Genomic DNA, 14,392 nt, shown 5'->3' with positions numbered 1-14,392 from the left:
CACCTCCATGTGTCTCTAAAGCAGCTTTTCCACTTTGGCACTGTTGACAGTTTGGGCTGGGTAGTACTCACTGGGGCGCCCTGTATGCCCAGGGCTGGGCTGAGCACTTCTGGCGTCTGGCCATTCTGTGCCATAGCTTCCTGCAGTTAACACAACCAGAATCTCTCCAGACACCACCCGTGTCCCCTGGTGGGGAAGGGGAAGGTGGCACGTCTCATGGTTGGGAATCCCTGCTGTAACAGTGCCCAAGGATGAAGCTCCACGTCCTTCCGTCGAGTTCCCACAGTGCGCAGCCATTAGCTGGCTGGACCTGTATCTTGGGGAGCGGTGATTGACCAGAATATTCATAGCCGTTTCTCCCACTACACCTATTTGCACAGCCATTTTGTCACTTTACTAAAATCTAGCAGGGAGTCCTGTGTCTAAAACGTGAATATGAAATTCCCGACGTCCTCCCGGCAGCACCGGCCCCCGTGTTAGTCTCTCATGGCTGCCACAGCAAAGCACCACAAAGCAGGGCGCTCGAAACAGCATAACGTATTCTCCCAACTCTGGAGGCCGGGGTCTGAAATTGAGGAATCTTTAGGGCGGCATTCCCTTTAAAGGCTCTAGGGGAGGATCCTTCCTATCTCTTTCAGCTCCTGGTGGCCCCAGGCCTGTGGCCCCATGTGGGCGGCAAGCCACCCAGGTGCCGAGGCAAGAGACTGAGGACACGAGCTGTTCCAGTGTAATAAAATATAAAATAAGAATACCAGATATAGATCTTAGATATGATTATATATGAATATCAATAATCATTAGTTTGTAGCAATTACTCTTTATCCCAATATTATAATAATCCTCGCTCTATAATCATAACCTAGGAAAAACCAGGCCATACAGAGATAGGAGCTGAGGGGACATAGTGAGGAGTGACCAGAAGACAAGAGTACGAGCCTTCTGTTATGCCCAGACAGGGCCACCAGAGGGCTCCTTGGTCTAGCAGTGATGCCAGCATCTGGGAAGACGCCCGTTGCCAAGCAGACCGTGGTCTAGCGGTAGCATAAGTGTCAAGGAAAAACACCTGCTACTTAGCAGACTGGGAAAGGGAGTCTCCCTTTCCCTGGGGGAGTTTAGAGAAGACTCTACTCCTCCACCTCTTGTAGAGGGCCTGACATTTGTCAGGCTTGCCCGCAGTTATCCGGAGGACTAACCGTCTCCCTGTGATGCCGTGCTTCAGTGGTCACGCTCCTAGTCCACCTTCATGTTCCATCCTGTACACCTGGCTCTGCCTTCTAGATAGCAGTAGCAAATTAGTGAAAGTACTAAAAGTCTCTAATAAGCAGAAATAATGGCGTAAGCTGTCTTTCTCTCTGTCTCCTCTCTCTCTCTCTGCCTCAGCTGCCAGGCAGGGAAGGGCCCCCTGTCCAGTGGACATGTGACCCATGTGGTCTTACCTATCATTGGAGATGGCTCACTCTCCTTATCCTGCCTTTGTCTTGTATCCAATAAGTATCAGTGCAGCCTGGCCTTCGGGGCCACTACCGGTCTCCGTGTCTTGGTGGTAGTGGTCCCCCGGACCCAGCCGTCTTTTCTTTTATCTCTTTGTCTTGTGTCTTTATCTCTATGCTCTCTTGTCTCCACACACGGGGAGAAACCCACTGACCCTGTGGGGCTGATCCCTACAGCCCCAGCGCTGTACTCTGTGCCTCCGTCTCCACATGGCCCCCTCTTCCCCACACCCACTCCTCTTCTGATTCTCATAGGACACTTGCCGTGGGATTTAGGGCCCACCTGGGTGATTTGGGATGACCTTATCTTGATGCTCTTAAATTCATTATATCTGCAGGACCCTATTTCCAAATAAGCTTCCATTCCCAGGTCCTGGGGTTAGGACTTGGATGTATCATTTCTGGAGGATGGTTTAACCCACAGCCGCCCAGCGTTGAGCCCATGGCCCACCCTGTGGGTTTCTGAACACATTTGTTTTGATTTTTGTGTGATTGTAACAGTTGCTGTTTGCTGCTTTCTGTGGCTTTGTATAGATCCGGGACCCGAAGACCCTTCTTCCCATGCCTGGAGTGATGGTTGGCGACATAGGAAAAAAACTCGGGCAGAACGGTCTGGATAATGGGTGAGTGACAGAGGCTGCTGAGCCCTGAGCTTCCTGCCAAGGCCCAGGCTGCGTTGTCGCTCATGTCTGAGATCTCACTGGCCCCATGGATGCCATGCCCTGCCCTCTTAGACTCAAATGCGGTGGGGACCTACGCCTAGCCCCCGTGCATGCACTGGCCACGTCCTGCTTGAACTCCACTTTGGGAGGCCAACTTGATCAGAGACCTCAGCAAACCAGCTTCACCTTGGCAGGCGGCTCCACACTCTCAGATCAGACCCAGACCTCTGTGTACAACTGGTGGGGCCCCTGCCTGGGGGGCTGCCTCCTCTGTGTGAGGTCCTCCTCAGCATCCTGAGCCTCCCCCGGCTCGGCCTCTGCACACATCCATGCTGATCTCGAGGGACCCATATCTGCAGTTTCTGCCTCCAGAGTAGGCTTGCTCCTTTCCGGGTAATCCCAGTGTCACAGCACTTAGAAAGAGAATTCCGCTGGCTTATTTGTTTAATCAGCCCACATATATCTATTTAGCAGCACACATGTGACACCGGGTTGGTGTGGCCAAGGCCTGGCTGAAGGGTTGGATGGGGCGTGCAGAGGGGAGGGGCCTAGAAAGACTAATGAATGCTTGATGGCCACATGGAGGCCTGGGTGGCCGGGGAGAAGTGGCCAGTGATTTTGGAATGTGCAGCGTTTCAGGTGGAGGAAGCAGTGGGAAGTGTCAGGCCCAGGCCTGTGCTGGGATGCAGGCGGGGTAGGGAGGCCAGGCCGCAAGGGCCTTGAGGGTCTTTGAGGGATTGGATTTTGGAGCTCCAGGTCATTAGCAGCATGACTTTTGGAATGAGACAGATGTGCAGCCGGCCCTTTGTGTCACCTTGACCAGCTTTCTTGGCATTTCCTCATCTGTAAAGTAGGTGACAAGAGAGGTCCCTGTGCCAGGGCCCTGCCAGGCCCTGCCTGAGCAGGCCGGGCTTGAACTTCCTGGCCACTGGCCCATTTGGTGCCTCCCTCACTGCGAATGCTGGACTCCACACGCTGTCTCCCCCGAGAGCCTGATCCAGCAGGGTGTAGACCCCTCTGTGCCCACGAGATGATTTATAACTTGGGGGTAGTGGGACAAGGTATGACCATGCCTGAGCCTGATAGCCTGAAAGATGTCTCAGGAGTGTTTCTAGATATGCGTGTTTCATATAGTGTTTCATAGCGAGGCTGGTGGAGAGGAGAGGAGCCTGCCTTACAGGAGTTGGAAATAACTGGTTATCATGACCAGGTTGTCTCCAGAGGGAGAAGATGGGCCAGTGGGCATCTGAGCGCTCAGCGATGGAGAAACCTCCTTCTGCCTGTCTCTTCTGAGAAGTCAGGGTGATGGGCAGGGAGTGTCTTAAATCTCTGCTTGGCCCTTTAAAACAGGCAGGGCCCCAGACTGTACTAAAGAGGAAAATCTTGATTGATTTTTATACAGTGTCAACTTGAGAAGAAAGTAAAAGGACATTGTTAAAAAGCAAATTCTTGTGATTTCAGGCAAAAAAAAAAAAAAAAAGCAAAACAAGACACATATGCACAGCCCTCCTAACTCCACCTGTCCTGCAGAGTTCTGGGTTCTCACTGGCTTATACTAAAATAATACAAGGAACCTGCTAGTTAATGTTGGAGCTGGCAGGGAGGAGAGCGCCACCCCGACCTGCGGCTGTCAGTTCTCTTGAATGACTACTTTCGCAGGGTGCCTGGGAGGCGCTTGGCATGGACGGTGCCCGTGTAGCAGGTATGGAGGGTCGCTGTTCAGGCCCTTCGCCCTCAGGGCAGCGGGAAGCCCCAGCCATCTGGAGGATGTAATGCGGCTTGGTCTGTTTGAGAAGGATGGCTCTGGCCTCAGGGTGAGAAGCTCTGAAGCGCTGTGCAGGAAATGGGGTGTAGGAAGCACTGTGTTGTTCTGGAGAATCTGCATCCTTTTATTAGACCCGGCTGATCCCTTTCAGGGCTCTGCAGCCACAGGCACTGTTACCCATCTACTGAAGTGTCCTATGTGTGCACGTAAGGCCCGACAGGCATCTCCACCCGGGCATATGGCGGTGGTGAATTGTCACATCCAGTGGGTGGCCTCGGGTGTGAGCAAGGCTCTTCTTCACTGCTCATTCAGTTTCATGAATGAGAGGCTTTGACATTATTTTGGGACATTGCAGAGAAACCCTGCACTTGGTTCCCCCCTAATAAACGTATTTCTAGAGATTGAATCCACACCTCTTACTGGGATAATATTCAAAGGAGCATTAGATCAAACCATTAATGATTAATACATCACACTGATATGGTAAAGCCTCTTGTAAGACTCAGAAATACGGTCTCCTATAGGATCGCCACTAACACAATAACGACCGCCCTTTGACGCTGGTTCAGAGCTGCTCCACCAAGCCAGGTCACTGAGCCCCCAGAGCCTTTCCACCGTGTCTCTCTGCAGGGTGACAGGGATGCAGTGGGATTCGTCCATCTTTGATCCCTGAGCCTTTGAAGGCCTAGGTTGGGCTGGGATGGGAGCCAGCCGGGGTGATGCAGGCGGCCTGCTCTCCGCCCCTTTCCAGAAATGCACATTTCCCATCCAGGGCTGGAGGGTCTGGGCAGGGCACCCAGCAGGGGGCGCAGTGATACCAGTGTTCCCTCCGGGTTTCCCAGCCAGTTTCTGCCTGGATGTCTGTCTTTTCCAAGATCAGCATTATAATTTAGTGATTTTTGTTACCAATGTTGAAATCATTTATCTTGAAAAAAGTGGTTACAATTTGTAGGTTAGATTTTGTCACTTTACAAGAACTCCTGAGTATGTGGGATGACTGCCTACAAATCCAAGGTAAACGTAAATTGTGTGGATTAATTTTAGCCAAATAGCTCTAAAAGCAAAATCATAAAGATCTTCTCAAGTGATAGTTTCAGCCAGACTCTTAAGGTGGGCTGCACCTTAAGGGTCTTTCTTCGTGCGTTTGCCCTGAGCTGAGGCGGTGGCTGGGAGGATGGCTGCCGAACTCAACGGCCTGCTCTGGCGGCTTGGCTGGGCTGGGCTTGGGGGGCCCTTCCAGGCCCCAAAGGAGGAAGGAAGCTGCTGCAATAAGAAGCAGGATGTCCAGGGCGCGGGGTGTGTGCTGAGGTCTGGGCGCTTCTGGGATTGGAGTGAGGGTTTCTGTGCCACACTCAGGCCTCCCGTGCCACGTGCATGTCCAGTGACACACACACACAACTCCTGTGCTGTGCACACACACACCTGTGACACACGCACACGTCTCCCGCTGGAGACACTGGATCTGGCTTGTATTTGAGTTGGCCACATGTGACCACCACTGTAATAGCTTTTGTGGAACAGAAGGGATCCCCTGAGAATTCGTGGAAGTTTGCTTTCCTTTGAAACTCACGGGAATGTTTTTGCAAGTATAAATATATTCTGTGTGGTGAGAATGGGGGAATAATTTCCACTCCTTAAAAAGGGCGCTGACTGTGACCGGATCATACTGGAAAAGGCATTCCTTGGCTTTCAAGTAACAGGCTGGAGCACGCTGGGGCCATTGGCACCGAGGCAAGGTTTTTCTCACGAGGTGGGGTGTTCTGAGTGTGCGGCTGTGGCATGGGGGAAGCTGCTACCAAACTGGGCAGCTGGGCCTAGGGCTTTGGAGGAGCTGGCCCCCCCGCTGCCCTTCACTTCCTGCAGGTGGGCAGGGGCCTGGCAAAGCAGCCGAGAGCTCTTCCCTCACCAGGTCACCCAGGTTTCCCTAAGGAGCTCCAGCCCCGTCCCCACCCGGCCCCAGGGCCTTGCTCCTCCTGGTAGTGTGGAAACTGTCGCTGTGTCTTTCCCTCAGGCTGTCCTGGGAGTCAGGATCATGGCCTGGCCCTTGTGCCTCAGAGGATGTCGTCTGCCCCACCTGACTTGTTCATACCATGCCACTTACGTGCCCGTCCCTTAAGTCTGGCAGGCCCCATGCACGGTGGCCCCCTCATGGAGGGGGGTGAGCCCCGGGAGACTGCTGAGAGGCAGCTAGCTCACCCAGGAACCAGGAACGTTGATGGTTGAGGGATCCCACCCTGGGGTCCGCCTCATACCCTTCCCAGGGTGGGGCATAGAATTCCCAGGTGGGCCGAGGGCTGCCTGGTGTCAACAGTGACTGCATGGAGGGCATGAGGCCAGGAGAGAACCTGGTGGACGGGGCACCACAGGCAGGCAGGACCACCTCATGGCAAGGCGGTGATGCTGTTAGAGGGGCAGATGGGGCACCACAGGCAGGTGGGACCACCTCATGGCAAGGTGGCGATGCAATTAGAGGGGCAGATGGAGGTCAGCTTGGGGGGATCCTCCACATTGGCCTCCGCCATTCCGAAGGCCTTTGGGAAACGGCCCAGCTCCCACAGGGAGGATGGGCTGAAGAGGCAGAGTTAGGAAAGAGCCAATATGGTTGCTGCAGGAAATCAGCCCAGGAGAGCTGAGTAGGGATGGAGGTGCTGGGTCCTAGGTGGGGATGGAGGGGAGAAAGTGAATCGGGCCAGCACAGCAGAGCTGGCAGCCCAGGACCGGGTGACAATGGGGGTGTGGGGGCATCCTGAGCAGGACTCAAGGAAGAGCCCACGCAGGAAACGGGTGCCTCTGGTTCCCTTCCAGCATGTGAGATTATTCTTTATAGATGAGTCTTCTGTGGTTTAGTAAAAGACTATTCTGTAGGCAGGGGTCCCCAACCCCGTGGTACTAGTCTGTGGCCTGTTAGGAACTAGGCCACCCAGCAGGAGGTGAGCATCGGGTGAGCCAGCAAAGCTTCCTCTGTGTTTATAGCCACTCCCCATTGCTCACATGACTGCCTGAGCTCCGCCTCCTGTCAGATCGGTGGCGGCATTAGATTCTTATAGGAGCGTGAATCCTACTGTGAACTGCGCATGTGAGGGATCTAAGGCGAGCGCTCCTTATGAGAATCTAATACCTGATGATCTGTCACTGCCTCCCATCACCCCCAGATGGGACCATCTAGTTGCAGGAAAACAAGCTCAGGCTCCCACTGATTTTGCAATTTTGCATTATGGCTAATTGTATAATCATTTCATTATGTGTTACCATGTAATAATAATAGAAATAAAGTGCACAATAAATATAATGTGCTTGAATCATCCCGAAACCACTCCCACCTCCCCCTCATTCGTGGAAAAATTGTCTTCCATAAAACCGGTCCCTGGTGCCAAAAAGGTTGCGGACTGCTGCCCTAAGGCATTGCAAGTGAACTTAGGAATCAGACAAGTTGCTATAGGAACTATTGATATTTTGAAGTTTGTTTTGGGGGGTTTTTGCACAGTTTATGTAATATTCTTAACCTAGCATAGCCTTATTCCCTAGACTGTTGTGTAATAGGTTTTCCTGACCAGACAACCATAACAGGTATCTTTGGTTATTAATACATCATGATCCATAACAATGTGTGTGTAATCCTATGCTCAGCTGTTCAAAAGAAGTGAATTTCCTTGCCGAGGGAGCACCAATGCCATCACACCAGTTATTTTGTTTGACTGAAGAGTTTTAAACCTCATTTTGCCAATATTATTACACTGTGGGTTCTGGTTTAAGATTGAAATATGAGAATCAGAGATTCCAATCTTTGGAAACACAGTTCCCGTCTTTTCTGTTGAATATCTGGAGTTCTGTACTTGGAGTACAACTTACCATATACACAATGCTTTTATTATTATTATTATTATTATTATTATTATTATTGAGGTGGAGTCTTGCTCTGTCACCAAGGCTGGAGTGCAGTGGCGTGATCTTGGCTCACTGCAACTTCCGCCGCCCGGGTTCAAACAATTCTCCTGTCTCAGCCTCCTGAGTAGCTGGGACTACAGGCACATGCCACCACTCCTGGCTAATTTTTTTTTGTATTTTTAGTAGAGACGGGGTTTCACCATATTGGTCAGGCTGGTTTCGAACTCCTGACCTGAGGTGATCCACCCACCTCGGCCTCCCAAAGTGCTGGGATTACAGGCGTAAGCCACCACACCCAGCCTATTTTTTAACCTACATTTTTTTCTTTTTTAGAAACAGGGTCTCACTGTGTTGCCCAGGCTGGTCTCAAACTCCTGGGCTCAAGCAATCCTCCTGCCTCAGTCTTCCAAAGAGTTGGGATTCTGGGCGTGAGCCACTGTTCCTGACTAGACTACTTTTTTGAATAGAAAGTTGGTTGAATGTTCCTGTCTACTTGCCCTCTGCCATTTTCTTTGTCCTCGGGGATTGCATCAGCTTTTAGGCTGCCCTTGGAGAAGAGAAGAGCCTCAGGGCAGGACCCCTGTTTAACAGAAGCCCTGCTGCTTCCCCACAGTTTCGCCATGTTCCACAAGGTCAGAGTTCCTCGCCAGAGCCTTCTGAACCGGATGGGAGACGTCACCCCCGAGGGCACCTATGTCAGCCCCTTTAAGGTACAGGCATGGGGGGCCGTTCGTGTGCCGTGCTTCCCAGGTGCCTTCCTCTGCAGGGCCTGGCTCTGTGCTCCTCCCTGCACCTGGAAAGGAGACCCCTCCACGTAGGCCAGGTGTCGCTGGGGCATACTTCTCCTGGCTCGGGTTCTGGTGCTCCCGCTAGAAGGGGACTCTTGGGGCAGCCACAGCACCAGGTGCTGGTGTCCAGGGGGTGAGTCCGGGCCTTACAATGCCCACTCCCCATCGGGGGCTGCGATTAGAGGACTGCTCGCTTCCAGTGATGCTTCCCTGAGGATTTGAAGGAGACGGGTCTCCTGGCGAACTGTCCACAAAGGGGGACGACAAACAGAGTTCCCCGGTGTCCAGAACTCACGCCTGGCTTAAGTTCACGGAGAGCAGAAGAGAGACCGTGGTCCTGGGGAGCGATGGCCCAGGTCATAGCTGATGACCCTCAGGAATCATGAGCTCACAGCAGGTGGGCCACCCCGAGCATGCACCCTTGGAATAACAGTCCCCAGCAGCATGCAGCATCTGACATCAGGAAGCACGGATGGAAAAGGAGCATGATGGGGATGCCCAGAGACACACAGGGTGCGCAGAGTGGGAACAGCAACACGAGACCAGGAGCTGCTCACAAACGGAGATGTTAATCCAACATCAATTAAAAATAAATGATTGGAAGAACAGGCACAGCATTTGGGATAACTATCTCAGGAGGATGAATTAGGGATTGGAAGCTTGTCCTCTAGAAGGCAGAAGGAGAGGATTAAAGAAAATGAAGGCTGGGTGCAGTGGCTCACGCCCGTAACCCTAGCACTGTGGGAGGCCAAAGTGGGCAGATCGCTTGAGCCCAGGAGTTCCAGACCAGCCTGGGCAATATGGCAAAACCCCGTCTCTACTAAAAATGCAAAAATTAGCCGGGCATGGTAGCGTGTGCCTGTGGTCCGTTACTTGGTGGGAGGTGGGAGGATCACTAGAGCCCAGGAAGTCAGGCTGCAGTGAGCTATGATTGCATCACTGCACTCCAGCGTGGGCAACAGAGCGAGACCCTGTCTCAAAAGAGAAGGAAAGAAAGAAATGAAGTTTAGAGAAATAAAGGAGAGAAATGTCTCTAAATGAGAGGGGAAGAAGGCTTTTGGTTGAAGGGACTCTTGGAGGACCAAAGAGGAAAAGTAAGGAAGCACCTATGCACGTACCCAGACACACGGTAGAGAAATTGAGGAATTTCTAAGAGAAAATTCTAGAATCTTCCAGATCTGACTCCAGTGGAATAAAAAACACTTGAACTTCAGATTTCTCAAACATGACAGTGAATGCATGAAGACAGTGGAATCATATTTTATACCCTTAAAGGAAAATCACTTTAAATATATATTTATATATATTTTTTGAGGTGGAGTGTTGCTCTGTCACCCAGGCTGCAGTGCAACAGCACGATCTCAGCTCACTGCAACCTCTCCTCTGCCTCCCGGGTTCAAGTGATTCTCCTGCATCAGCCTCCTGAGTAGCTGGGACTACAGGCACCCGCCGCCAGGCCTGGCTAATTTGCGTACTTTTAGTAGAGACGGTGTTTCACCATGTTGGCCAGGCTGGTCTTGAACTCCTGACCTCAGGTGATCTGCCCACCTCAGCCTCCCAAAGCATTGGGATTACAGGCGTGAGCCGCCGCACCCGGCTTAAATACATTTTTAAACACAACGAGACTGTGATTCCTATGTGAGAGTGTGATTAATACGCTCAGACACACAATTACCATGCTGCCTTGGAAGAAGGACCTAGATGGTCAGAGGAGTGGCCCGATGGGGCAGCACGGGGCAGGGCAGGAAGGACGGTCAGATCACGTGGCAAGGGCTGTAGATTAGATGTGCCCACCGCAGCCTGGACAGGCCTTAGCAACAGCCTCTGCTGACGCCGCTGATGCGTGCGAGGAGATAGTGGACGGAAGATTCCAGCTAGACGCACGTAAAGGAACTGCCTGTTCACAGGCACACAAGGATCAAGAGGTGTCCGTGAAACCCCCTGGAAAGGCTGCCTGTAATGGACTCCGCCCCTGCCCTCTGGCAGTACAGGCCACATCTGATTCTTGCCAAGGTTAAAGGTGGGCCTTGGAATCTCCAGGCAGATGGTTTGCAAGTCCCCACAGTGGGAGCACCCTCACCCAGCGCTGTCATACCATTCCCTCTGCTAGGACTGTACCTTCTCCAGGCAGCTGGGTGTCCCCTCCCTGGCACCCCCATTCCATCCACGGTTCATCAGTGACATCTCTACCCGCCTGCCGCACCGTCCTGTGTCTTGGGCGCCCTGGGGATGGGGCCTGGGCAGGTGGGCACAGGTCTACTTTGGATGAACAAACGAGGGCACCTTCGCCTCTGAGCCACTCTGCCCAAGGTGGCCGCGCAGCCGGGCTTGAGCTTATCATCTGTGTCCCTCCCGTAGGACGTCAGGCAGCGCTTTGGAGCGTCCCTGGGGAGCCTGTCCTCGGGCCGGGTCTCCATCGTGAGCCTGGCCATCCTTAACCTAAAGCTGGCCGTGGCCATCGCTCTTCGCTTCTCAGCCACTCGGCGTCAGTTTGGACCCACAGAGGAGGAGGAAATACCAGTGCTTGAGTATCCAATGCAGGTATGAGGTTTTCAAGCATCCTTTCACTGTCTCTCTATTTTATATGCAAATTCACTTCTTTTACATAGTTGCCGTTTGGTTACTGGGAGTTGATCAAAGCTCTTAAGGCAATTAACAGGATGATTAGTTAGCGGGAGTGCGGCATCTCAGGCCGCAAGGCTTCCAGCAAATGGTTTTTAATTTAAAAAGAGTAGATACGAAGTAGCCAAAAAAGGAAGATGGAAAGAAGCAAGTCTTTTTTTTTTTTTTTTTTTTTTCCCAGACGGAGCCTTGCTCTGTCACCAAGGCTGGAGTGCAGTGGGCATGATCTTGGCTCACTGCAACCTCCGCCTCCCAGGTTCAAGTGATTCTCGTGTCTCAGCCTCCCGAGTAGCTGGGATTATGGGCATGCACCACCATGCCCGGCTAATTTTTGTATTGTTAGTAGAGACAGGGTTCTGCTGTTTTGGCCAGGCCGGTCTCGAACTCCTGACCTCCAGTGATCCACCTGCCTCAGCCTCCCAAAGTGCTGGGATTATGGGCATGAGTCACTGTGCCCGGCCAGAAAGAAGCAAGGATGGGGCGGCTCTGGGAGGTGGGTGTGTGCACGGCCGCACGTTCAGGTGAGGCCGCCACAGCTTGGCGGGTAGTGGCCTTGCACGCCCTGTGCACACTCTTTGACACTTTCATCCCATCCCTAAGAAATGATTCCTGGCAGGTGATCTGGAAGAAGCAGCAGCTGAGCGTGCAGCCCTGTTCACTGTGATGGCATTTAGAACAGTGGCGTGGGCACAGAGCGTTGGCCCTACACGTCCCCAGAGATGGGGCAGCTGTTGACATGCACAGATGCAGCCCAGGCAGCAGCGTGGAAAAGCACAGACATTGTTACATGGAAGGGGGATGAACTGTCACAGCGAACGTGCCCTGTGCTCTGGGTTTGGTCTTCACAGCTAAGAGGGTTGGGCTTAGTCCCACTTTACAGGTGAGAGAACTGAGGATCAAATAAGAAATCCAGTTAAAGTGCACAGGCTAACTCAGGCCCAGGTCCCAGGCCAAGCTGTGCATGAATAAAGGTAGATTTGGGTGAAACTTCCAGGAAATTGTAACAGAATTGCAGTTGTTTCTGTCCACATCCTTTGACCAGGGCTATGAGCCTGTTTAGTAAGTGTTGCCATTCATGCCTGTGTGGCACCCATCCCCTCCCGTGTGTGGTCACAGCACTCTGGGTGCCAAGGGCAGCTCGGCGGTCAAGAGAGCGCACTGGGGCCACCATGCCTGGCCTTACCACCAAGGTCCACCCCCAGCTGGCTGTGTGCCCCCAGGCAAGGTCCTTAGCCTTTCTGTGCTCTTGCTTTATCATTTGTAAGTTAGAACTGATGATAAAACTTCTTCCTAGGATCAGTGTGAGGATTAACAAAGTTAGGGCATGGAGGCAGCTGGCGCCATGTCTGCTCAGCACTCTTGACACGTTAGACCATGGTGGTGATGGCGGTTTCCTCAGGATCCTCTCAGGCTTGTCCTGCCATGTACCCAGCCACCCACCCACCCATCCATGCATCCCCCCACCTGTCCACGCATCCCCCCACCTGTCCACGCATCCACCCACCCATCCATCTACCCATCTACGGATTCATCCATCCACCCACCCACACATCCACCTACCCACCACCCACCATCCATGCATCCATCCACCCACCCACCCACCCCCCCATCCAACAATAGGTGGACCCTATCCTGTTTCAGACAAAGTGAAAAAGACATGCACTCAGCCTTTCGAGGGGCTGCCAGCTCTGTGTGGGCCTCAGCTTTCCCATCTGTCCCAGGGTGACGGCCTCATCCTCACAGGCTCATGCTGTCAGCCAGTCAGTCCGTGTGCCGGGGAGTTGGCCCCTAGCAGTGCTGCCTTCTTAATTCACAGATAGACTGGCACTTTGTTCTGTAGTGACTTTGATGGGACAGCTGTGAATAGCGGCCATTTAGCGAATTGCGTTTGAGCTTGTCTGTCAAGGGCTATGGGTGAAAGCCGAACTGGCTGAGTTGAGAGCGTGTCAGGGTGAAGGCTTTCTGATGTGCCGGGAAGACATGTGAAGACCTTCAGCGCTAGTGGGTGTGTGGCCCTGACGGCCTCTCCCTGCACTGGCTTTCATGGTCCCTGGGATGGGCTGCCCTTCATGGGAACCACGATGTGTTCACGCAGGTGTCTTGTCTGTTCTAGCAATGGCGCTTGCTTCCATATCTGGCAGCTGTCTACGCCTTAGACCATTTCTCCAAGTCGCTCTTCCTGGACCTGGTGGAGCTCCAGCGAGGACTTGCATCGGGAGACCGCAGCGCCAGACAGGTGAGGTGGTGTCTGCTTCCTCAGCAGCATCGTTTAAATCTCACACGGTTGGAGCAGCATAGATTCAACCTTCATTTCAAAGCAAAATCAGTCCTTTGATTTGCGAGGACAGAGCATTCCTCCAGTTGTTCCCACCCACTCGGAGCTCTTGGCCTCTGCCGCGATTGAACGGGCTGGGCACGCGTCCACACCCCTGCCTCTCAAGGATGTGCTGACACGACTCCCGGTTCCAGTCTGTGAGTTCAGCTGTTGGTCTCCTTTTGAGAACATGACGGTTTTGCAAAATCCACGTTACCCGCCCCTCAGTGGATTTCATGGTTCTGAGCCTTTTGTAAACAGCTGCACAAAGGTCTGAATCCCACTGACTGGATTTGAGTTGACAGTCAGAGGATTTGTGCCAGAAACGAGCGTGCAAATCCCGAGATCAGCCTCGGCATAAAGAGACATCGGGAACGGATTTCTTTGTAGATGATTATGAACTGATTTTCCATTGTCCCTCCTGCTGCCTCCTGAGCAAGAGTGAAATGTGAATCAAAAGAAATAACCGTGTTTGAAAGCAGAGGAGAAACGCCACAGATTGCTGTTATGTACAACATCAGAAAAAGCCTGTATCTAATTAGCATATCTTGAAATATTATCGGTGTCCACATTCACGGCAGATGATGGCGAAGGGATGACCTGCAGGATTGATGGCAGAGCAAACCCCAGGCCTGGAGGCCTGAGGAGGGAGCGCTTCTGACCACTAAAGGGGTTAAGCCTGTGTTTTCCCTGGAGCGTGAGTCAGTGGAGCTTTTGCCAGCTGACACTTGCATTGTTCTCCTGTGAATAATGTTGTAAAGGGTGACCAGGCTGATTCTTTCTGAAACTCAGTGGTTTAACCCAGGCAGAGGAGGGCCTCAGCTCAGCCCCTTATGTGAAGTTGAAAACACTCATAAAATGGGTCA

At 52.6% G+C, this 14,392-nt stretch overlaps 1 protein-coding gene across 23 annotated transcripts in view, besides 4 other annotated features; it reads left to right on the top strand.

Annotated features, from left to right (window-relative positions):
- ACOX3 (acyl-CoA oxidase 3, pristanoyl) overlaps nucleotides 1-14,392 on the top strand; it is an 85,419-nt gene that overhangs the window by 32,656 nt on the left and 38,371 nt on the right. For all 23 annotated transcript variants that reach the window (XR_007057969.1, XR_007057970.1, XR_007057968.1 and 20 more), the window contains 4 exons: nucleotides 2,025-2,113; nucleotides 8,416-8,512; nucleotides 10,949-11,131; nucleotides 13,326-13,448. Coding sequence is in view for 18 of the 23 variants with exons in the window: in NM_001375784.1 (NP_001362713.1) it covers nucleotides 2,025-2,113; nucleotides 8,416-8,512; nucleotides 10,949-11,131; nucleotides 13,326-13,448 (492 nt within the window). In the remaining 5 variants the exon portion in view is untranslated. The remainder of the gene's footprint in view (nucleotides 1-2,024; nucleotides 2,114-8,415; nucleotides 8,513-10,948; nucleotides 11,132-13,325; nucleotides 13,449-14,392) is intronic.
- Nucleotides 4,447-4,644: a silencer, noted in NCBI's record as "fragment chr4:8405151-8405348 (GRCh37/hg19 assembly coordinates)". NCBI's record gives its function as "represses an EF-1alpha promoter that drives an FKBP-Casp9 reporter gene in an ReSE screen in K562 erythroleukemia cells {active_cell/tissue: K562}" and the evidence as "EXISTENCE:reporter gene assay evidence [ECO:0000049][PMID:32094911]".
- Nucleotides 11,001-11,968: an enhancer, noted in NCBI's record as "NANOG-H3K27ac-H3K4me1 hESC enhancer chr4:8397827-8398794 (GRCh37/hg19 assembly coordinates)". NCBI's record gives its function as "activates a minimal SCP1, AML or CMV promoter by ChIP-STARR-seq in primed H9 embryonic stem cells {active_cell/tissue: H9 hESC(primed)}" and the evidence as "EXISTENCE:reporter gene assay evidence [ECO:0000049][PMID:30033119]".
- Nucleotides 11,969-12,934: an enhancer, noted in NCBI's record as "H3K4me1 hESC enhancer chr4:8396861-8397826 (GRCh37/hg19 assembly coordinates)". NCBI's record gives its function as "activates a minimal SCP1, AML or CMV promoter by ChIP-STARR-seq in primed H9 embryonic stem cells {active_cell/tissue: H9 hESC(primed)}" and the evidence as "EXISTENCE:reporter gene assay evidence [ECO:0000049][PMID:30033119]".
- Nucleotides 12,935-13,902: an enhancer, noted in NCBI's record as "H3K4me1 hESC enhancer chr4:8395893-8396860 (GRCh37/hg19 assembly coordinates)". NCBI's record gives its function as "activates a minimal SCP1, AML or CMV promoter by ChIP-STARR-seq in naive H9 embryonic stem cells {active_cell/tissue: H9 hESC(naive)}" and the evidence as "EXISTENCE:reporter gene assay evidence [ECO:0000049][PMID:30033119]".

Source organism: Homo sapiens, chromosome 4 (assembly GCF_000001405.40).
Source record: "Homo sapiens chromosome 4, GRCh38.p14 Primary Assembly".
In the NCBI taxonomy this organism is placed as follows: Eukaryota; Metazoa; Chordata; class Mammalia; order Primates; family Hominidae; genus Homo; species Homo sapiens.
This window is presented reverse-complemented; position numbering and strand designations above follow the sequence as displayed.